The sequence below is a fragment of the Homo sapiens genome, chromosome 1, assembly GCF_000001405.40.
Source record: "Homo sapiens chromosome 1, GRCh38.p14 Primary Assembly".
Taxonomy (NCBI): Eukaryota; Metazoa; Chordata; class Mammalia; order Primates; family Hominidae; genus Homo; species Homo sapiens.
The window spans coordinates 237,924,882-237,947,396 of record NC_000001.11 but is presented as its reverse complement, the minus strand read 5'-3'; the positions used below and the strand labels follow the sequence as shown (position 1 = coordinate 237,947,396).

General features: G+C 40.0%; 7 pseudogenes across 1 annotated transcript in view, besides 2 other annotated features; 4 read left to right on the top strand and 3 right to left on the bottom strand.

The window, feature by feature from the left end:
* On the top strand, positions 2,184–3,673 carry MTRNR2L11 (MT-RNR2 like 11 (pseudogene); annotated as a pseudogene).
* Positions 3,667–3,741, top strand: NMTRL-TAA3-1 (nuclear-encoded mitochondrial tRNA-Leu (TAA) 3-1; annotated as a pseudogene).
* Positions 3,756–4,695, top strand: MTND1P25 (MT-ND1 pseudogene 25; annotated as a pseudogene).
* On the bottom strand, positions 4,764–4,835 carry NMTRP-TGG1-1 (nuclear-encoded mitochondrial tRNA-Pro (TGG) 1-1; annotated as a pseudogene).
* MTND2P27 (MT-ND2 pseudogene 27) lies at positions 4,905–5,939 on the top strand (annotated as a pseudogene).
* Positions 5,841–6,504: an enhancer, noted in NCBI's record as "NANOG hESC enhancer chr1:238104193-238104856 (GRCh37/hg19 assembly coordinates)". NCBI's record gives its function as "activates a minimal SCP1, AML or CMV promoter by ChIP-STARR-seq in naive H9 embryonic stem cells {active_cell/tissue: H9 hESC(naive)}" and the evidence as "EXISTENCE:reporter gene assay evidence [ECO:0000049][PMID:30033119]".
* MTCO1P38 (MT-CO1 pseudogene 38) lies at positions 6,336–6,634 on the bottom strand (annotated as a pseudogene).
* LOC100130331 (POTE ankyrin domain family, member F pseudogene) overlaps positions 19,076–22,515 on the bottom strand; it is a 66,147-nt pseudogene continuing 62,707 nt past the window's right edge. Inside the window, exon 12 of the transcript NR_027247.2 lies at positions 19,076–20,648. The product of NR_027247.2 is annotated as a POTE ankyrin domain family, member F pseudogene (transcript). The remainder of the gene's footprint in view (positions 20,649–22,515) is intronic.
* Positions 20,381–20,881: an enhancer, noted in NCBI's record as "H3K4me1 hESC enhancer chr1:238089816-238090316 (GRCh37/hg19 assembly coordinates)". NCBI's record gives its function as "activates a minimal SCP1, AML or CMV promoter by ChIP-STARR-seq in naive H9 embryonic stem cells {active_cell/tissue: H9 hESC(naive)}" and the evidence as "EXISTENCE:reporter gene assay evidence [ECO:0000049][PMID:30033119]".

The following is a 22,515-nucleotide window of genomic DNA, read 5'->3' as shown; positions in this document are numbered from 1 at the left end:
CCTGGCATCTGGTTCTTAACTCAGGGCCATAAACCTAAGATCGCCCACATATGCCCCTTAAATAAGACATCTTGATGGACTAGTGATTATCACCCTATTAACCAGTCACGGGAGCATAGCCACGCATTTGGTATTTTTAACTTTGGGGGATGCTATCACTCACCATCGCGGAAGGCCTGGTCCCCTCTGAATCCTCTGTAGACGTACTCCGATTTGATTCCTACTTAAATCAATTGTAGAAGCTGAGCTTATATTGAATATTCCGAACCCACATAACAACCATACGGTGTTAATTAATTCATGCTTGAAGGACATAATAATTAATCAACAAGCAGGTAGGTTCACACACGTTCCCTCAAGCAGGTTCCCTCAAGCAGGTTCCTTCAAGCAGGTTCTCTCACGCACTTACGCTTACGCACCTACGCTCACCTACGCTCACGCACCTACGCTCACGCACCTACGCTCACGCACCTACGCTCACGCACCTACGCTTACTTTCAGGAACTTCTTCCAATTAAATCTGCAAGCCCCCCTCCCCCCATCTCTAACTTTGCTATTAACCTAGACAAATATACTCTTGCCAAACCCCAAAAACAAGAGACTAAAACGCAACCCGTCAGAGCCCAAAAATTTTATTTTAACTATAAATACCCCAACAGCTATCCCTCGATTTATGTAAATTTTCCTAAAAATCTTAAACCCCTTCTACTAAACTAAACCCCAATTTATATAGTAAATATAGTAACTAAATTTCCACCCTAATACTAATATAACGCCTTGAACATACCCCTCTGAAAGCACTACCCAATATATTATATCCTAAATCAATTATATTCTTATTAGGAATAACTATCTTAATCAAACCTTTGCCAATTCAATTTTAAAGCCCTGAATTCTCAGAACTATAAACAACCATTTACATTTACTTCTTCCTTTCTCATATTTTAAACCTACATTGAAATATATATATATATATATATATATATATATATATATATATATACACACAGTTAAAGTAGCTTAATTATTTTAAAGCAAGACACTGAAAATGTCTGGATGCGTCTGCATAACCCCATAAACAAATAGGTTTGGTCCTGGCCTATCTTTAACTCTCAGTGAGATTACACATGCAAGCATCCCCGCCCCAGTGAAAATGCCCTCTAGATCATCCAGATCAAAAGGAGCAAGTATCAAGCACGCACAAATGCAGCTCAAAACGCTTTACTCAACCACACCCCCACGGGAAACAGCAGTGATAAATTGTTAGCAATAAACGAAAGTTTAAGCTATACTGATATTTAGTGTTGGTCAATTTCATGCTAGCCACCGCGGCCATGTGATTAGCCCAAGCTAATAGAACTTGGTGTAAAGAGTGTTTAAGGTTTGCCCTCAATAAAGCTAAACTCCATCTACGTTGTGAAAAATTCCAGCTGAAATAAAATATACTACGAAAGTGGCTTTAATATCCTCAAGACGCAATAGCTAAGACCCTAACTGGGATTAGATAACCCACTGTGCTTAGCCCTAAGCTCTAATAGTTAAACTAACAAAACCATTCGCCAGAATACTGCAAGCAACAGCTTAAAATTCAAAGGACTTGGAGGTACTTTATACCCCTCTAGAGCAGCCTGTTCTATAATCGATAAACCCCGATATACCTCACCACCTCTTGCCCCCAGCCTATATACTGCCATCTTCAGTAAACCCTAAAAAGGTAATAAAGTAAGCACAAGTACACACATAAAAACGTTAGGTCAAGGCGTAGCCCATGAGGTGGCAAGAAATGGGCTACATTTTCTATACCCAGAAAATATTACTACAACCCTTATGAAATCTAAGGGCTCAAGGAGAATTTAGCAGGAAACCAAGAGTAGAGTGCTTGGTTGAATAAGGCCATGAAGCATGCACACACCGCCCGTCACCCTCCTCAAATGTTCTAAAAATTATTATAGCTAAAACTCTCTACATACATTCAGAGGAAATAAGTCATAGTAACATGGTAAGCGTACTGGAAAGTGCGCTTGGACAAACATACTTGGACAAAGTGTAGCTTAACCTAAAGCATCCGGCTTAAACCTGGAAGATTTCATCACGACCTGATCACATGGAGCCGATTCTAGCCCCAAACCTCGCTAAAAATATTATTAAATCATCTCAATCAAACCATTTACCTTAGACGAAAGTGTAGGCGATAGAAATTTATGCCTTGATGCAGTAGATACACTACCATAAGGGAAAGATGAAAGAACTAAATTAAGCACTAAAAAGCAAAGATAAAGTCTTTTACCTTCTGCATAATGTACTAGCTAGAAATAACTTGACACAGAGAACCATAGCCAAGTCTCCCGAAACCAGACGAGCTACTCAAGAACAGCTGAAAGAGCACACCCACCTGTGTGGCAAAATAGTGGGAAAATTCATGAGTAGTGGTGACAAGCCTACGGAGCCTTGTGATAGCTGGTTGTCCAAGATAGAATCTTAGTTCAACTTTAAACTTACCCACAGAATTACTTAAGCTCCCTGTAAGTCTGTTAGTCTAAAGAGGGACAGCTCTTTAGACCCTAGGGAATAACTTTTCTGTAGAAAGTAAAAAATATTACCCCCATAGTTGACCCACAAACAGCCACCAATTAAGAAAGCGTTCAACCTCAACATCTAATTATCTTAAATTCTAATCACTTTACTGAACTCCTAACAACACCTTGGACTAATCTGTTATTTAATAGAAGCAATAATGTTCACATAAGTAACGTGAAAATATTCTCCATTGCATAAGCTTATATCAGACTGGAATAACCCACTGACAACTAACAGCCTAATATTAATAAGCAATATAACAAGCACCTTATTATTTATTCTGTTAATCCAACACAGGCATGCTCTAAGGAAAGATTACAAAAAGTAAAAGGAACTCTGCAAATCTTACTCGGCCTGTTTACCAAAAATATCTCCTCTAGCATTTCCAGTATTAGAGGTACTGCCTGCCCACTGACATATGTTCAACGGCCACGGTATCCTGACTGTGCAAAGGTAGCATAATCACTTGTTCCCTAAATAGGGACTTTTACGAATGGCCACACGAGGGTTCAGCTGTCTTTTACTTGTAATCAGTGAAATTGACCTATCCGTGAAGAGGTGGGTATAAACAAATAAGAAAAGAAGACCCTATGGAGCTTTAACTCATTAATGCAAATAAAACTTCAAAAAGCCTACAGGCCTTAGCATACTGTCTGTGCATTAAAATTTTGGTTGGGGTGACCTCGGAGTATAATTCAACCTCCAAACAGCCTAGACTAAGACCGCACTAGTGTAAGCGAGCTGACACACATTGATTCGATAATTTGATCAACAGAAGAAGTTACCCTAGGGGTAACAGCACAATCCTTTTCTAGAGTCCATATAGACAATAGGGTTTACAACCTCAATGTTGGATCAGGCCATCCTAATGGCGTAGCTACTATTAAGGGTTCATTTGTTCAATGATTAAAGTCCTACGTGATCTGAGTTCAGACCAGAGTAATCCAGGTCAGTTTCTATCTATTTAACATTTCTCCTAGTACAGAAGGACAAGAGAAATAGGGCCCACTTCATAAAGTGCCCTCGCCCCATAGATGATATTATCTCAATCTAACAAATCATCACACACCCTACCCAAGAACAGGGTTTGTTAAGATGGCAGAGCCCAGCAATTGCATAAAACTTAAAACTTTACAATCAGAGGTTCAACTCCTCTTCTTAACAATATGCCTATAATTAACCTTCTCCTACTTATTATTCCCACCCTAATCGCTATAGCATTCCTTACACTCATTGAACGAAAAATCTTAGGCTATATACAATACGCAAAGGACCTAACACGGTAGGCCCCTATGGAAAGCTCCAACCATTCGCTGACGCAATAAAACTTTTCACCAAAGAACCCCTACAATTCTCAACATCTACTATTCCCGTTTATATTATTGCCCCAACCCTGGCTCTTTCTATCGCTCTCCTCTTGTGGACCCCCCTCCCTATACCGGATCCCCTAATTAATTTTAATGTAAGCCTCCTATTTATATTAGCCACATCAAGCCTAGCCGTCTACTCCATTCTATCATCAGGATGAGCATCCAATTCAAACTATGCCCTGATCGGCATATTACGAGCCGTGGCCCAGACAATCTCACATGAAGTCACCCTAGCCATCATCCTGCTATCAGTCCTACTAATAAGTGGCTCATTCAACTTATATGCACTCATCACAATGCAAGAATTCCTATGACTGCTCCTACCATCATGGCCCCTAGCCATGATATGATTTATTTGCGTGCTAGCAGAAACTAACCAAGTCCCTTTTGACCTAACAGAAGGAGAGTCAGAATTAGTCTCAGGTTTCAACATTGAATATGCTGCAGGTTCATTTGCCCTTTTCTTTATAGCAGAATACATGAATATTATCGTGATAAATGCCCTAACTACTACTATTTTCCTAGGATCACTGCACACTATATATTCACCAGAACTCTATACCATAAATTTCATTACCAAAACCCTCATTTTAACTGCCCTCTTTTTATGAATTTGAATAGCATACCCCTGATTCCACTACGACCAACTCATATAACTTCTATGAAAAAATTCCATACCACTTACACCAGCATTCTGCATATGATATACTTCAATACGTATTCTAATTTCCAGAATTCCACCTCAAACATACGAAATATGTCTGACAAAACAATTACTTGGTAGAGTAAACAACAGAGGTTAAAATCCTCTTAGTTCCAGAACTATAGGAATTGAACCTACCCCTGAGAATCCAAATCTCTTCGTGCTACCTATTACACCAAGTCCTAAAGTAAGGTCAGCTAAATAAGCTATCAGGCCCATACCCCAAAACTGTTGGTTATATCCTTCCCGTACTAATTAACCCATTAGCCCAACTTATTACTTTCCTCACTATTTTCATAGGAACTCTTAACACAATGCTAGGCTCACACTGATTTCTTATCTGAACAGGACTAGAAATAAAGATACTAGCTCTTACCCCAATCTTGATTTAAAAAATTAATCCCTGCTCTACAGAAGCAGCCACCAAATATTTTCTTACACAAGCAACCACATCTATAATTCTCATAATAGGTATCCTTACTAATAACCTGTCCTCCAGACAATGAACAATAATAAATACTATTAATCAATTTTCATCCTTAATAATAATAATGGTTCTAGTAATAAAACTAGGAATAGCCACCTTTCACTTCTGAGTCCCAGAGGTAACCCAAGGAACCTCTCTAATATCTGGCATACTTCTTCTCACACGACAAAAACTAGCCCCCATCTCTCTTATGTTTCACATTTTCCCATTAATAAATATGGATATTCTCCTACCTTCCACAATTCTATCCATTATAGTGGGCAGTTGAGGAGGACTTAATCAAACACAACTCTGTAAAATCCTAGCCTACTCCTCGAGTACTCACATAGGCTGAATGATAGCAGTACTAACTTATAACCCAGACATTACCATTCTAAATCTGATTGTTTATCTTATTTTAACAATTACCACATTTCTAGTACTTAACCTGAGTAAATGCACTACAACCCTATCACTATCTGGCACTTGAAATAAATTAACATGATTAACACCTATAATTCCACTAATTCTATTATCCCTAGGTGGCTTACCTCCATTAACACGATTCCTGCCTAAATGAATTATCATTCAAGAATTTACAAAAAACAATAGTCTTATTACCCCGAACGTTATAGCTATTATAATGCTACTCAACCTGTACTTTTATATACGCCTAATTTGTTCCGTCTCAATGACAATATTCCCCACATCTAATAATATGAAAATAAAATGACAATTCGAAAATACAAAAACCATACTACTCCTCCTTCTGCTTATCATTTCTATTTTCTTCTTACCAGTCTCTCCAGTAGTGTTATTTATTTAGAAATTTAGGTTAAAAAAGACCAAGGACCTTCAAAGCCCTTAGTAAGTACATTTTACTTAATTTCTGTAATAAACCTAAGGACTGCGAGACTCTATTCTGCATCAATTGAATGCAAATCAACCACTTTAATTAAGCTAAGCCCTTGCTAGATCGGTGGGATTCAAACCCATGAAAACTTAGTTAACAGCTAAATACCCTAATCAACTGGCTTCAATCTACTTCTCCCGCCACTGGGGGGAAAAGGCAGGAGAAGCCCTGCAGGATTGAAGCTGCTCCTTTGAATTTGCAATTCAACATGAAAAATCACCTCAGGGCTGGTAAAAAGAGGTCTTGACCTCTGTCTTTAGATTTATAGTCTAATGCTTACTCAGTCATTTTACCCTTTTTCCACTAATGTTCATCAACCATTGATTGTTTTCAACTAATCACAAAGATATCGGAACACTGTATCTGCTATTTGGTGCATGAGCGGGGCTAGTAGGCACTGCCTTAAGCCTCCTAATTCAAGCTGAAATAGGCCAACCAGGAACTCTATTAGGAGACGATCAGATCTATAATGTTATTGTTACCACCCATGCATTCGTCATAATCTTCTTTATGGTGATACCAATTACAACTGGGGGTTTCGGCAACTGACTAGTCCCTCTAATGATTAGTGCCCCCGATATGGCGTTTCCCCTGATAAATAATATGATCAAATAGTAAATGGAAAATGAGAAGGAAATTAGCATTTATAACCATGTGTTAGACCCTTAACATATATCATTTGATGTCCACAGCAATCCTGAAATTATTCCTGACAATTATTCCAGGAATTAAATTATTCCTGACAATTATTCCTATTTTACAAATGAAGAAACTGAGCTCGGTAATAATTCACAGAGTCCAGTAGGTCTCCAGAACCTCGAGACCTTTGTACTATATCAAGGATGATGGCAAATATGTGTCATCCCTGAAAGACAATCACTGTGCTCTTTCCTACTGAGGCAAGATACAACCTCAGAATCCTTCTCAACCCAGTGGTTTGGGCAGCTTCAACCAATTAATCGTAGTAGCTTCAGGAGTAGAAAACAAATTGCAATTCCTATTATTCAGTCTAAAGTCTCCAAGAGAACTTCCAGCTCAGATATTCTATATTTCCTACCCACACTCTTTAAAGAGTTACATTATAATAAATTATAAAAGGCAAAGTCCAAGTTAGAAAATGAAGCTTCAAGCTGTCACTTTGTCAAAAAGTACAACTCCCAGTCAGGGCCGTCTGTGCCTCCAGCCTCCAGCCTCTCTCTCTCATTACTTTTCCCCTACCATTTCTGGGCCCCTTTGCATCATTGTCTGTTATCCAGCATTATCCTAGGGCTGCTCTGTCCAATATGGTAGTGCTAACCACATGTGGCTATTGAGCACCTGAAATGCGGCCAACTCCACGTCAGGGATGCTGTAAGTATAAAATACGCTGTGGAGTTTTTTTTTATTATTATTAGATGGAGTTTCACTCTTGTTGCCCAGGCTGGAATGCAATGGCGCGATCTCGGCTCACGGCAACCTCTGCTTCCCGGGTTCAAGCGATTCTCCTGCCTCAGCCTCCCGAGTAGCTGGGATTACAGGCATGCACCACCACGCCCAGCTAATTTTGTATTTTTAATAGAGACAGGGTTTCTCCACGTTGGTGAGGCTGGTCTCAAACTCCTGGCCTCAGGTGATCCACCCGCCTCGGCCTCCCAAAGTGCTGGGATTACAAGCATGAGCCAACACACCTGGTCTACACTGTGGGTTTTGAAGCTGTTGTATGAAAAAGATGTAGACTATCTCATTAATAATTTTCTATGTTGACACATGTTGAAGTTGTATTTTGGATGTTGAGTTGAATAAAATATATTGATAAAATTAATTTCACCTGTTTCTTTTTACTTTTTTTGTAATGTGGCTACTAGAAAATTTAAGCACATACATGGCATCTATTTGTGACTTGCATTCTATTTTTATTGGACAGTGCCATCTTAAAGGCTTCCGTTTGCTATCTTTGATTCTTCTGTCATCCCAATTCTGTCTGGCTACCTATTCCATTTTCAAGGCTGGCTGACCCTGCATCTTCCTTAGTTGCTGGCTCTTGGCTGCAGCTTTGAGATGGCAATAGAGCAGCCATTCCTTCTTCTATCGGTCCACCATAGCTTCCTTTTGCAACAACTCTCTGCTGCCCCTGTTGCTGCCAAGCAACCTCTGAACTCTCTCAGCCCAATTTTAGCTCTTCCAGCCAAACCCCATCGAACTCCAGCAATCTTAATTTGTTAGGGATCCTTTCAGAAATACATAGCAAGAGATTGAATTTAGACTAGGGAAGTGAGAAAACAATCAAGGCTATCCCTCCTTGGACTTGGAGTACACCTTCTTTTGCAGGGCATTCAACTAGGTCAAGCAATCACATCTGCAGTTAATTGATAGAGTATCCGAAATAGATGGTCCATTCTGATAATAGCTTACCAATGATCACAGCCTGGGGAATGATCGCAGAAGTGGAATGACTGAGACCATGTCTGGAAACAGCCAGAGCAAGTCAGAGGCTATTAAAGGTCCAAATATGAGATTCTGAACAGGAACTGACTCTTTAGGAATGAGGGAAATGCAGAGAGACTCCACAGGAAGGTTCAGTTACCTAAAAAGGAAAAGGAGCGAACCAAATACGTGTCTCATTGATCAAAGATCGCCACCGCCAGGGGGCAGTAGAAAAACAAATGTCGAAAGATCTGAGTTCATATCTCAGTTCCACCACCTTAGGGCATACCCGCGATCCTGTCATTTAACTTTTGCATCTGAAGACTAAAGACAGTAATGCTCATCTAACCCTGAGAGTGTCAGTTACATAAAGCATATGAAGGGTTGGGGTCACAGGAAGAGGGAGGTGATAATAGGGGTAGCTGTCTCTCCCCGAGTTTCCCAAATTGGGAAAAATGTGTATCTACAGGGAATGTGATATTGGCCACAAAGGCACATAAAAGCAGCTCTGTATATTGTGAACATAAGTCACAGTTTCGTTCCTTCAAAACAGCATCAGAATTCAATTTTTTTCAGCATTAATGAATATTTTACAAAAGGAATGAAGTGATCCCAACAGCACTTTGAGAACACTGCATTCGGTTGTGTTACTCCCATGACCACACCTACTCTCCAAAAGTTTAGGCACATGCATGAATTCACAGATGCAGAAGTTCTCACGAATCTTTTGCGTCACTTGCATTCTTGCTCCTCTTTCATCATGACAAACTTGCTCCTACCCCAGGGCCTCCGTGCCTGCTCTTCCCCCTGCCTGAGACCATCTTCACCTGTCTCCCTCCCTCACTTGTGTTCTGCTCATTATGATCACCTCTTTTGCTGCACCCATCAGGAGACCTTATTAGGTTACACTTAACGTGTCATCTCATAAGACAACTGTGCACCACGCAGGACTCCAATTCACTAAAAAGGACAGGAACAAAATTGAGCCTGCTAAAACCATAGTCTCAAGGGTCCCTCTACAGCATTGGGCATCCTTGCAGCAACTCATGTGCTATCGTCCACAATGGGGCAGGAAGAGATCCATGTCACACACTGCAGGAATTGTCCTGGCTTAAATGCCTTCTGCCCCACAAGAACTAATAACTCTTGCAATAAATCTACAGGCATTTTTTATAGACTCTCCACAACCAGCATGCTGATTACAAGACTCATGGACTCAAAGAAGCCTAAAGCATAGCACCTCCATATAAATAAATAAACTTAGAGTTTATTTGCGGTGCCTCTGGTTCAGATGCAATTTGCTAATGTGACATCATTTTTATCATAAGCAAGCTTGCTTAATAATATAGTTGGCATGCTTACCCTTATCGGACTACCAGAGAAACAGATCTAGACAGCTGGACTGAATCTCAGGTTCTCATGCAGGGCGAGTTTTATTAACCCACAACATCTAAAATCACCATATGTTCTGTGACTCTAGAATTTTCAATCCTCATATCCAATTCACAGCATACATCACTGTTTACCGATGTGTTTGTTACCTGGCTCCCCAACCATCAGTATCATTACAGCAGAGAAGTTATCTGATATATTCCCTGGTGTACTCAGAGTCTAGAAGAATGTCTGACACAGAGTAGACACTCAATAAATATGTGTTAAATGAATGACATCCAATATCTATGGTTTTGCACAAACACAAGAAACCCAGGCTATTCATGGTGGTTTAACTGGCAAGTAATATGCAGACATGCAAGTAGGCAGGCAGCCTATCACTATGTCCAGAGTCATGCCCTCGGGAGCTGGTCCCAAGAGCACATGGGCTCAGAGGAAAGAGTCCTATTCATAAGAGGTCTAGGGTGTCAATTGGGGATTTTGTTATGGAGCAGCCAGTAGTGACCTAGTTTAGGACTTTAAAAAGTAACTCAAAAACAAGAGCAACAAACAGAGAACAACTTAAGGCAGAAATCTAGCTAATGGGACAAGAGAATACCAATGTCTGAGTGGGCTCATCATCAAGACAGTTTCACTGTGTGCTATTTGACTTCTATAAGAGGCCTCAGCACAAGAGTTGATCAAATTACCATGCTTTCCAGCAGCATTTCCCAAAGCTTCTGGGAGATATTCATAGACAGTACTTCAGAGAAGGTTTTTGCTTGGCAAATCTCTAGCTAAACACCTTTTTTATTAAAAGACTTCTGAGAATTAACTTTGTGAATCCCAAAGAGAGAACACAAAACATAGCATTTCCCAAACTTTTTTAGACATCCTTCCTTCACTGATCGTATCACTCTGTGAAGTACTTTTGTACTTTGGAAAAATTTACATAAATTTGTTTTATACTATTTGGCAGAGAATCATATATTACATGTACTATGACCTAAACTGCCCAAATGAGTAAAGAGGAACTAAGCTGAAAGCAAAATTAATACATCCCATGTGATTTGAGGTATAGAATTTAACTATAATATGCAACATTTTTAACTTAAAATGTTATTTTTAAATACCTAAAAATATATGTAGTTAACTATATACATATATACATATACCTATATATATATAGGTATATGTATATAGTCAACAATTAAAAAAAAACTGTCCCTGAATAACCAACACTTCCCCTTATCCAGTTCTTATCCTCTGCACAGGAATGAGCTCCTTTATGTATTCTAGTCTTCCAAGAACTGAATATTCACGAATCTATAGCACTTTCACAACTTGAATAATTTCAAACCATTAATAGCTAGCTTAATACCTACCTCTGATAATAGGCAATCTAAGAAAACAGCAATTTTATGTTTAATCAGGTAACCAATGGAACATTCTTTGCCTCAAATGAACCAAAAACAAAACGAGAAGAAAAACACATTTGGAAATAAATCTGCCAGCCCACTTTATAATGTAGACTTGCACCAGTTGTTTGATGAGCATTTTGATAATTAAAGGCTGCTCTGTCCTATATGTCCACGGTCTGTAAGGTGGCCGTCCCCTCCCCTGTCATTCTTTGGGTCCCAACTAAACACCCTGAGGGAAAAAACTGGGCATTTGCTTTGACTCTTTCTGAAACATGGGGAATTTGCAAAATCTTTCTAAAGCAGAATAATGTGTTACCATGCAAAAAGTAGTATGCAAAGAAGTCTAAATCATCCCAAAATAAAACTCTCCTATTATTGTGACACTTGGATGGCCCCATCCAACAGCAAAATCAGGCCAAACACTATTTTTTAAAAAGCAAAGAGAAATAACCGTTAATCACTTTTGAGATTTGCTAAGGTAATAGCAAGTCAAGAAATCTCACAATTTTGTCTAAATATGTAAACAAGGGTTATGTCCTTCATTAATATTCATCTCTGTGAAAAACTGACATGTTTACACTTCTTGTAGTTCTTTACACTTCATGACTAGCAATTTATTATACATGAAAGAATTTTAAATGTGCACTTCTAGTAGAATAATCATCAATTTTTTACAATGAATGACCAAGGAAACATCTTAATTCTAGCTCTCATCTTAATATTGGTTGGTGCAAAAGCAATTGAGGTTTTTGCCATTACTTGGGCAAAAACCTTGATTACTGTTGTACCAACCCTATACATTTCACTGCCTGGCTTCTGGCTACAGAACATTACATATCCAACATAACGTATGAATATTACTCCTTCCCTATCTTTTACCCCTAGGAAAATGAGGAAGTAAGGATGGGGCAAGGAGAGAGGGGTGCTTCAAAGCCTGATATGTACTGCAGCTTTTGGTAGTCAGCTAACATTTGAAGCACATTATGAATCATAAAACATTTTGAATCCCGTCTGTCTCAAAGTTTTTAGACATTCTTTCATTGATTGATTTACAGAAAGCAGAGAACAAAGTTGAAGTCATTCTAAAAACTAAGCTGCTTTGCTTCCCTGTTTCTATGTTGATGTTTCACTCCTAAATTTGTAAAAGTAAAGCCTTCCATGCCCAGAGGCAGCATCTTTAATGCCTAAGAGAACACAGATGTACATACATGGTGATATGGGTTGGCTGTGTCCTCACCCAAATCTCATCTTGAATTATAATTCCCATAATCCCCATAGGTCATGGGAGGCACCCAGGATAAGGTGGTTGAATCATGGAAGCAATTGCCCCCATGCTGCTGTTCTCATGATGGTGAGTAAGTTCTCACAAAATCTTATGGTTTTATAAGGGGTTTCCCCTTTGGCTCAGCTCCTGCTAGGAACAGTCCCCCCAAATCTGGCCATAAACAGGCCATGAGAAACTAGCCATAAACAAAATCTCTGCAGCACGGTGACATGCTCATGATGGCTATGACGCCCACACTGGAGGTTGTTGGTTTACCAGAATGAGGCCAAGGAACACCTGGCCCACCCAGGGCAGAAAACCGCTCAAGGCGTTCCTAAACCACAAACAATAGCATGAGCGATCTGTGCCTTAAGGACATCTTCCTGCTATGGATAACAAGCCAGAGTCTGTCCCTTTGTTTCCCGTAAGGAATGCTTTTAGCTAATCTATAATCCATAGAAATAATGCTTATCACTGGCTTGCTGTCAATAAATATGTGGGTCAAACTCTGTTCGTGGCTCTCAGCTCTGAAGGCTGTGGGCCCACGATTCCGACTCTGCACTCTATTTCTGTGTCTTTGTCTTAATTCCTCTAGTGCCGCTGGGTTAGGGTCTCTATGACCGAGCTGGTCTCGGCACTCATTCTTCTCCTTTCTGCCACCATGTGAAGGACATGTTTGCTTCCCCTTCTACCATAGTCATAACTTTCCTGAGGCCTCCCCAGCCCGGCAGAACTGTGAGTGAATTAAACCTCTTTTCTTTATAAATTACCCAGTCATGTGTAGTTCTTTATAAGCAGCATGAGAACAGACTAATACACATGGCAACCCAGAGGAGAAACATGAAACACTTGGAATTTGTTTGCTGCCAAATCAATGAAGAGCACTGCATTTTCCTTGAGAAATCCTCCGTGGTTCAGTTGTTGCCTGATTACCCTGCTTTTGGTGTGGGCTCTCTCTTTTCCAATTTGGTAATTCCCCACAACCAAAATATCAGGTTATTACATCAAAACCTACCCATATTTAGTAGTGTATCATGTCAAAGTAGATAGGAAGTACTGGCATGTTGGCACCTTTCCAAGGCTTTGGTAGTCAGCTAGACACAGTATGCAAAGAGGACAAGTGAGTCCTGGGTGCACTTGTGACCTGTCCTTGTGACTTGGAAAAAATGGCATCATGTTCTGTCCGATGTGTTTCCGCTAGGGTTCTTTGTGACCCCTGCCAGGTGCTCAGACCATGGTAATACTAAAGAATGTTCATATTCTATGTGTTCTTTGTAAAGATCATTTGGTGGCAAGTTAAGCGAAACCAATTTGAGGCACCTTGAGCAATAAAGGTTTTATTATGAGAAAAGTGGGAAATTCCATGGAACCACAAAGGATGGATTTTGCTGAGCCTCAGGAAGGGGCAAGAATCAGAAATAGCAAAATTTTCCAGAGGTTTGTTTTTTTTTAACCAATGTTTGTCTGTCTTTTGCTTCCAGCCCCCAGGGTAGGATACAGCCACTCTTTAAAGAAACTGATATGATGGATGTCAGTCTGAATTCCAAATTTCTGAGAAAGAATCTCAGTGGACCAGTCTTGGTCAGGTGTCCACCCTGGGCCCATTAACTGTGTTCAGGGAAATCAGGTCAGGAGAAACAGAAACAGCCATGAAAAGCCTGGCCTGTGGGTCAGCCAGCCAAGTAAAAGGATGAGCTAGCTGATTAATGAGTTTCTTGCAATGTGTAGGTGTACAAGCATGGAGAAGATGACCACTGGTGGCCTGGTCTCCTGCAATGCTTACATTGTCTGGTTCTATAATTATACTAGACATTTCCATATGAATATGTTGCATCATCTGAAATCCAACATGTCTAGACCAAATCCAACATGTCTAAACCAAATGGCATCTTTATACAATCTGCTGCCTTTCCCACTAATGAGACCAACATCTCTGAGTCACACCTACTTAAGTTCTTGTTAAGTTTCTTGTTCAGCGGTTCAAATTCTTCATGCTGCTACTGATGCCATACTGCTCTAGGCACATCTCACTATATAAGATCTGGATTAAAACCCTTAGGATAAATCGCTTTTTGCCGCCTACTTCTAGTTTAAGTAGACAAGCATCAGGAGGTGTTTTGCAGCCCTCATTGACTTTGGTCTCGTTAAAGGATTCCTTGTGATTTGGGGGTATCAAAAGTAAAAATGCTTGAGGATCACTTGAGGCCAGGAGTTTGAGACCAGCTTTGGTAACATAGCAAGACCCCCATCTCTATTTTCTTCCTGAAAGAATCTGTAGTATCAGTCTATAGTGTCATAAGATGCCAAAAATATATAAGAGTCACAGTAGCTGAGGAAGTATCTGAATGGGGAGGGGAAGGAGAAGAATACTGTAATGTGAAAAAGAGACCTAATACATACAAACTTCAGGAAAATCATCTCTTAACCTGAGCATAAGCACTCACAAGTACCTCCTCCCAGGATGCATCTGAGCAGCCTAAGCTTAATCATGCTTTCTAAGTTGCATGAGCACAACTAGGAATCTGCCTTCTCTCCCATGCTTTGAAATGTCAAGGAGGCCATGTTGACAAAATAGAAGCTGTGGCTGGAACAACCTGTCACTTCTCCAACTAATGCTAATGAATAGTTTTTTTATCTACCATTTCTTCACCTTCTGTCACTTAACATTTTCTTAGTTGGGGTCAAGTCTGGTTTCTTAACATAGAAAAACTCCAAGTAAAAGAGGCCCAAACAAGGTAAACATTTATTTTTTCCCCCATAAAAAATAATCCTGATTAGGCATCCAGAACCGCTGTGGCAGCCCTGTGAAGTGATCAGGAGCTGTGTCCTCCCTTCCTTTCTAAGCTGCCATCCTCACACATTTTGCTATCTTTGGGGCACTTTGTGGTCCAGGAGAGCAGGCAGATCTCCAGCTATCATATAGCCCCTTCCAAGCCAGGAGGAAGGCAATGAAAACAGACAGCATCCTTTTCTGGCAGTCCATACATATTTCTTACATCTCACTGGACAGAATTCAGCCACGTGCCACATGCAATTGCAAGGAGTGTGAAAAACATGATGTTTTAGAGCTGGCTGGAACTGTGCCCAGCAGAAAATTAGGTTTCCGTTCCTATGAAGGAAGGGGATGATGGATGGAGGGGTACACAATTAGCTATCACCACCATACCAGCCTTTCCCAGACATTTTCTCTTCTCATCTGGACTTACACCATAGACTGATAACTGTGCCCGCTCGGCTGCCATTCTAATCTATCATGCACACAAGTTAATCACCCTAAACCACTCTTCCACTTCTAGAGGACAAGATAAGATCAGGCAATTCAGACCCACACTTCCTCATCTCCTAAATTCACTTCTTTCCCGAGAAGTAATCTCCAAAAACTACCCTCTGCAAAACCTTCCAAAGGCTCATTTCTCCAAGGACTTTAACCTTCTAGCCACAAGATGCACCTCCAGGTTTTTCACCTCCCATCAACCCAGGGCTCCAGCTTTGTCCTTCACTGAACATCCTCTGGATGCAATGAGGCCTTTCCTACCTCCGAAATCTTTTGTTCTTTACTGTCCACCTGCAATTCTCCGTTTCTCCCTTTCTCTCTCTCTCTTTCTGTCCACCCCTCTTAACCTGTCCTCTCTCATGCACATATTCTCCTTTTTCATTGTTTGTATCCTACGGAAACCAAATAAAGTCCCATCTTCTCAGTAATGCACAGCCTAGAATTCATTTCCACAGATCGACGTGATTTAGCTGAATTGTAGTCTTTTTTATCTCTGATGTTTATTTAATACTCATTATTAATGTACTCAGTCTTATCTCTTTTCTAACACTGTCACTTGTCATGTTGGGCCTGTTGTTTAGCCTTTCTTTTCCTCGGGGTTATTAGGAAGTTTTATTGATGTACTGCAATCTACCAGGATGCATTTCCCATTCCTACATCCCTTCAGAATGTTTCTCCTGCTCCCATCCAGGGCAGGGACCCCATCTTGTTCACACGCACCACAGCTCCCAGGGCAATGCCTGCCACATATAGTAAATATCCAGTGAACAAATCTGGCTTGAGACTTACTTTGTATAACCTTAAACTTTATTGAAGAGGTTATTCTATTCTCCAACCAATGCTGTGAGCCATGAAAAGCTGGTGTCACCCTTCACTGATACTAGGGAGTGGCCAAACTTTTATTGTTTAACTTCTAACCCCACCATATTTCAGTATCTCTCATGCCAAAGCAGAAAGTAAAGTTTCACATGGAGCACGTAATCTGCATAGGTGGAAAATCATCAAAGTGCATTCCTGTACCTTGCATTGCACGTACATCTCCACTGCAATGCTTGGTCCAGAAATTACTCTTGGGACTGGAAGAGCAGATATCATATTCTACCCCAGCAGCTATACAAGCTAATTGTATGGAAGAGAGATTTTAACACTGAGATGTGTCTAGAAATGCCGAAAGCATAAATCGAGACAAAGGGAATTCGAGGGAAGTTTCTTTTGGATGGATCTAATAGTTACACATTCATTTGGAGTGGAGTCTATCTTTCATGAATAATGCTTTCCTAATTTGTGCTTATGCAGCCACTTAGAGGGTATAAGACTGACCAGGCAATCCAAATTCATACTTTCTAAACTCACTTCACTCAGCTCCTGAAAAGCAGTATCTACAATGGATTCCCTGGCACTTTCTGTATGAGTACAGATTATTTGTCTTGACCACATTTCCTTTGGAGAAATCAGATTCTTTTAGCTTAAATTACCTAAGAACAATTGAACTTGGCATGTTTCTTCCTGAGTGGAAAAACGTTTCTCAAGTGTTCTGGAGATATGATCCCGGTTTTCAAAAAGCCCAAGATTTGCTGGGTGTCTCTTTTTTTTTTTTTAATTAACTTACATTGCAGGACTCAAAACATTTTCTGAAATCAAACACACTATAAAACTAATCTAAATATTGGCTCCTTCATGACCTCCTTTAAAAAAATACACAGTGAAGACTGGGCGCGTTGGCTCACGCCTGTAATCCCAGCACTCTGGGATGCCTAGGTGGGTGGATCATGAGGTCAGGAGATCGAGACCATCCTGGCTAACATGGTGAAACCCCATCTCTACAAAAAATTAGCCGGCTGCGGTGGCACGCGCCTGTAGTCCCAGCTACTTGGGAGGCTGAGGCAGGAGAATCATTTGAACCCCAGAAGAAGAGGTTGCAGCGAGCCAAGACTGCGTCACTGCACTCCAACTTGGGTGAGAGAGTGAGACTCCGTCTCAAAAACAAACAAACAAACCATGCTGAAGCATTCTGGTGAACTGGCTTTAGAAATGTTAATAGAGGAAGTCAAAGTTACAAACCCAATCGACTTTTCTATCAGCTAGATCAGGAACATAAAAAATACACTACTACTCATGGGTTGGGAATAAATACTATCATTCATAATAAACTAATATTTATTTAATATTTCCAATGAGCCAGATATAAGTAATACTATATGCCCATTTACAGGTTAGGAAACTAAAATATGTTAAGTGACTGGCTTGAAATTATGCAACTCATATGTGGCACAGCTGGGATTGCACCTGGCTGTCTGGCATCAGACTGTGTTCTTAACCATGCTCCTGTTCTGTAATGAATTAAGAAAGTGATTTTCCAAATGTCAACAAAGAACAGAATCCATTATCAGGTATCAAGTATCACTTCAGAAGCAATGGAACTCTCAGAAACACACTGCTCTGCCATTCCATTTTACCTATAAGAAAATAAAATAAAGAAAAGCTATAGGAAAAAATGTAATGGGAATTTGGAAGATGGGTAATGATGCTTTCCCAGTTTCTCCAAACCCATGTGAACAGTGTAACAGCAATATAACACTTTATAAATTGGTAATCTCTAGAAACCAATACTGCTGCTCTCACCAGTATAATATTAAGTCTAGAAACTGGAACCAGCACACATACAAGCTAATCAGGTTGTAGTCTAGTTCTTGGGATTAGTGAGAGTTTTTAGAAACTTGTTAGCTATATTTTTCACTGGGTTTTCTTTAACAATGTTGATGTTTCTTTATTCATCCTGTAAAGAACAATAACAAAGAAGTGGTCATCTGAGGCAATATTATTTCTTTGTAAACCTAAAGGGGAAAAAAATTGAAAGAATACACATATTATTTTTTTGGGGGGGGCAGATGGAGTCTTGCTCTGTCGCCCAGGCTGGAGTGCAGTGGCACAATCTCAGCTCACTGCAACCTCACCTCCTGTTTTCAAGCAATTCTCCTGCCTCACCTCCCGAGTAGCTGGGACTACAGGCACATGCCACCATGCCTGGCTAATTTTCTGTATTTTAGTAGAGACAGGGTTTCACCGTGTTACCCAGGCTGGTCTCGAACTCCTGAGCTCAGGCAATCCGCCAGCTTTGGCCTCCCAGAGTGCTGGGATTACAGGTGTGAGCCACTGCACCCGGCCAACACATACCATTTTTTTAAAAACTCTATGTCTATTAGATGTTTGTGAAGATACCCACACCAACATGAAATTAGATATAATTATAAACACATAATGACAAAGTATAAATGTGGGTAATGGATATTAAGAATAAAATTTGAAAGTAGAGTTTTCACTGAATTTTCATATTTAATGTATTAATATATACTAGGTGATATCACAAGTGTAGTTACTCTATTTCTCTTCTCTTCAGTCTTTTAAAAGAACAAAGACTTAACATTAAGCTAGCTGTTTTTATTAATATTAAAAATCACCCATCAAGTGTTGATCTTAACCAAAGGCTAGACACCAACAATATCATCTTCCAAAGGTTCTGTCTGTGGCAAGTGCCACATGGATTTAAAAATACAAAATTATACAATTCTCAGTTTGATGAGCCTCTGGAGATGACTGATAAAAGAAACTGTTCTAACAGCTTGAATCTCTAGATGATTTGGGAAATGTCACAGGCAATAACAGGGAACTTTGGAATGGCGTAACAAATGGATGATCTCTGTCCGATTACAGCACATATTTTTATCAATTTCAAAGGCTTTGCTGCCAGTACTCCCAGTGTGCTAATCATTCTAAATAACAGATCCAGTCGATTCACATCTTATGAGACAAAATTAAAGCTTCTTGAAAAGTTGAAAGTATTTCTGTTTGAAAAATCTTTAGTTTCTAATTTATAAGGAAGACTTGAAGAGGTCTATCTCAGATATGTATCATTCTGTAATTTAAAATACCAAATGTTAACATCTGAATAGCTGATGTGAGCATAAGAACTTTCTGGGTCAGAGCACTGAAATCAGATTTGGTTAAAATTTTGGCTTTGCCACATTAGTGGCACCGGGATGGCTTATTGCCGATGGTGATGACCTGGCCATTGGGCAGCTCTAGCTCTTCTCCAGGGAGGAGGAAGATGCGGCCGTGGCCATCTCCTTCTCGAAGTCCAGGGTGATGTAGCACAGCTTCTCCCTGATGTGGGGCATGATCTCCCGCTGGGCCGAGGTGGTGAAGCTGTAGCCACGCTCGGTGAGGATCTTCATGAGGTAGCCTGTCAGGTCCCTGCCAGCCAGGTCCAGATGCAGGACGGCATGTGGGAGGGCATAGCCCACGTAGATGGGCACCGTGTGAGTGACCCTGACCCCATCTCCAGAGTCCCTGACAATGCCACTGGTGCGCCCAGAGGCGTAGAGGGATAGCACGGGCTGGATGGCCACATACATGGCCGGGGAGTTGAAGGTCTCAAACATGATCTGAGTCATCTTCTCTCTGTTGGCCTTGGGGTTCGGGCAGGCCTCGATCAGCAGCACTGGGTGCTCCTCCAGGGCCACGCACAGCTCATTGTAGAAGGTGTGGTCCCAGATCTTCTCCATGTCGTCCCAGTTGGTGACGATGCCATGCTCAATGGGGTACTTCAGGGTCAGGATGCCGGCTTGCTCTGGGCCTTGTCGCCCACGTAGGAGTCCTTCTGGCCCATGCCCACCATCATGCTCTTGTGCCGGGGGTGCCCAATGATGGAGGGAAACACAGCTTGGGGGGCATCGTCCCCAGCAAAGCCAGCTTTGCACATGCTGGAGCCATTGTCAATGGCAAGCGTGGCGATCTCTTCTTCCATCGTGACTGGTGGAGGAGTGGGGCAGCAGAGCAGCAGGATAACACGGTGAACAGGCTGGCGGGGGCGACTGAGCTTGAACATCCTTTCAAAAGAGAAAACAATAGTCCTAGATAGTTTTCCTGGAAAATTCTACCAAATATCTTAGAAAGAAATTATACCAATACCCTGTAATCTCTTCCAGAAAATAGAAGCAGAGGGAATACTTCTGAACTCATTCTATGAAGCCAGCATTACCCTAATACCAAAAAAACCAGAGACATTACAAGAAAAAAAAAATTATGAACCAATGTCTTTCACGAACAGAGACACAAAACTCCTCAAGAAATATTAGCAAAATAAATCCAACGATGTATAAAAGCAACTATAAATCATGGCCACATAGTATTTATTCTGAGTATGTAAGGCTGGTTTGATACCAAAAATCAATTAATTCATCATATCAGCAGGCTAAGAAGAAAAATTATAATACTGATAGATGCAGAAAAAGCATTTGGCAAAATTCAAAACCAATTTATGATAAAACCTCTCAGAAAAGTAGGAGTAGAGAACTTCTTCAATTTGATAAAGAACATCACCAAAAAATATCCAGCTAACATTATACTTAATGGTGAGAAACTAGATGATTTTCCCCTAAAATTGGGAATGAGGTTAGGGTATTCTCTCTCACTATATTCTGCATTGCTCTGGAAGTTCTATCTAACAGAATAAGACAAGAAAAGGATATAAAGGGTGTACAGGTTGAGAAGGAAGAAATAAAATTCTTTGTCCTCAGATGATACCATTTCCTATGAAGAAAATCTGCAAGAATTGACAAAATTCCTGGAAATAAGCAATTATAGCAAAGTTGCAGGCCACAACGTTAACATACAGAAGTCAACTTTTTTTATACAACTGCAATGATCAATTGAAATTTAAAATGAAAAACACAAATACCATTTGCATTAACACACACAAAAAACTTAGGTACAAATCTAGAAAAATATGTATAAGGTCTATATGAGGAAAAACTAAAATATAAGCATTGTATTAATGAGATCAAATCAGATAATGTCAATGGGGAAAGCGACCTTTGAAGAACTTTACTAAACTTAGAGGGGGTCATATATTTGCTTATTTTCCTCACAATACACTCTTTAGAGTACTATTCATAGGGCAGAAGTCAATATTTTTAAGAGCATCTATCCCCTAACAATGACATTATGAATGTATCTTTAACAGTGGGTCTATGAACACTGATAAGACAGCCTCTTTTTTCTTATAGAAAATCCTAGACTTTCTTAGTGTAGAAGGTTCCTCTTAGGTAATAACGCTGTTCTCTCTGGAAAACACTCACATGCATACATTTGTTTATTCATACAGCCACAATCTCTAGCCATATAATTTGTTACAACTTGTTTGGTCCCTCTGAACTTGGCTTTCTGTATTAAATTGTGATATTAATCTTATCTATCATTGATTTATCTTGAGAAATAAGATTATTGACAAAAGCTCTTGGCTTAGTACCTTGCACATAGCAAGCATTCAGTAACCACTAGCTGTTCTCTTTGTATTTCTACCTAATCTTCAAAGTAGACTGGGGTAGAGAGGACTAAATTCTCATTCTATTTGTCTCAATCTGATGCTGCATGGAAATCTCTGGCAGGGCTGCCTTTCTGCAGCTTGACTATTATATATCTCTGATGCTTGAAAAGCCAGCAGCCAAGGTAAAGTCTAGTAAAACAAAATATTTAATTTGAAAGTAGCCTGATATTATCATAGACAAAGTACATAGATATTATCAAAATTACATCTAATTGTTTCTTGCCAGGGGAATTAGACAAGAAAAAGAAATAAAAGATATCCATATTGGAAAGGAAGAAGTAAAACTATCTCTATTTGTATGTGACATCTTGAATACAGATAATTCTAAGGACTTCACTAAAAAGAATTATTAGAACTAATAAACAAGT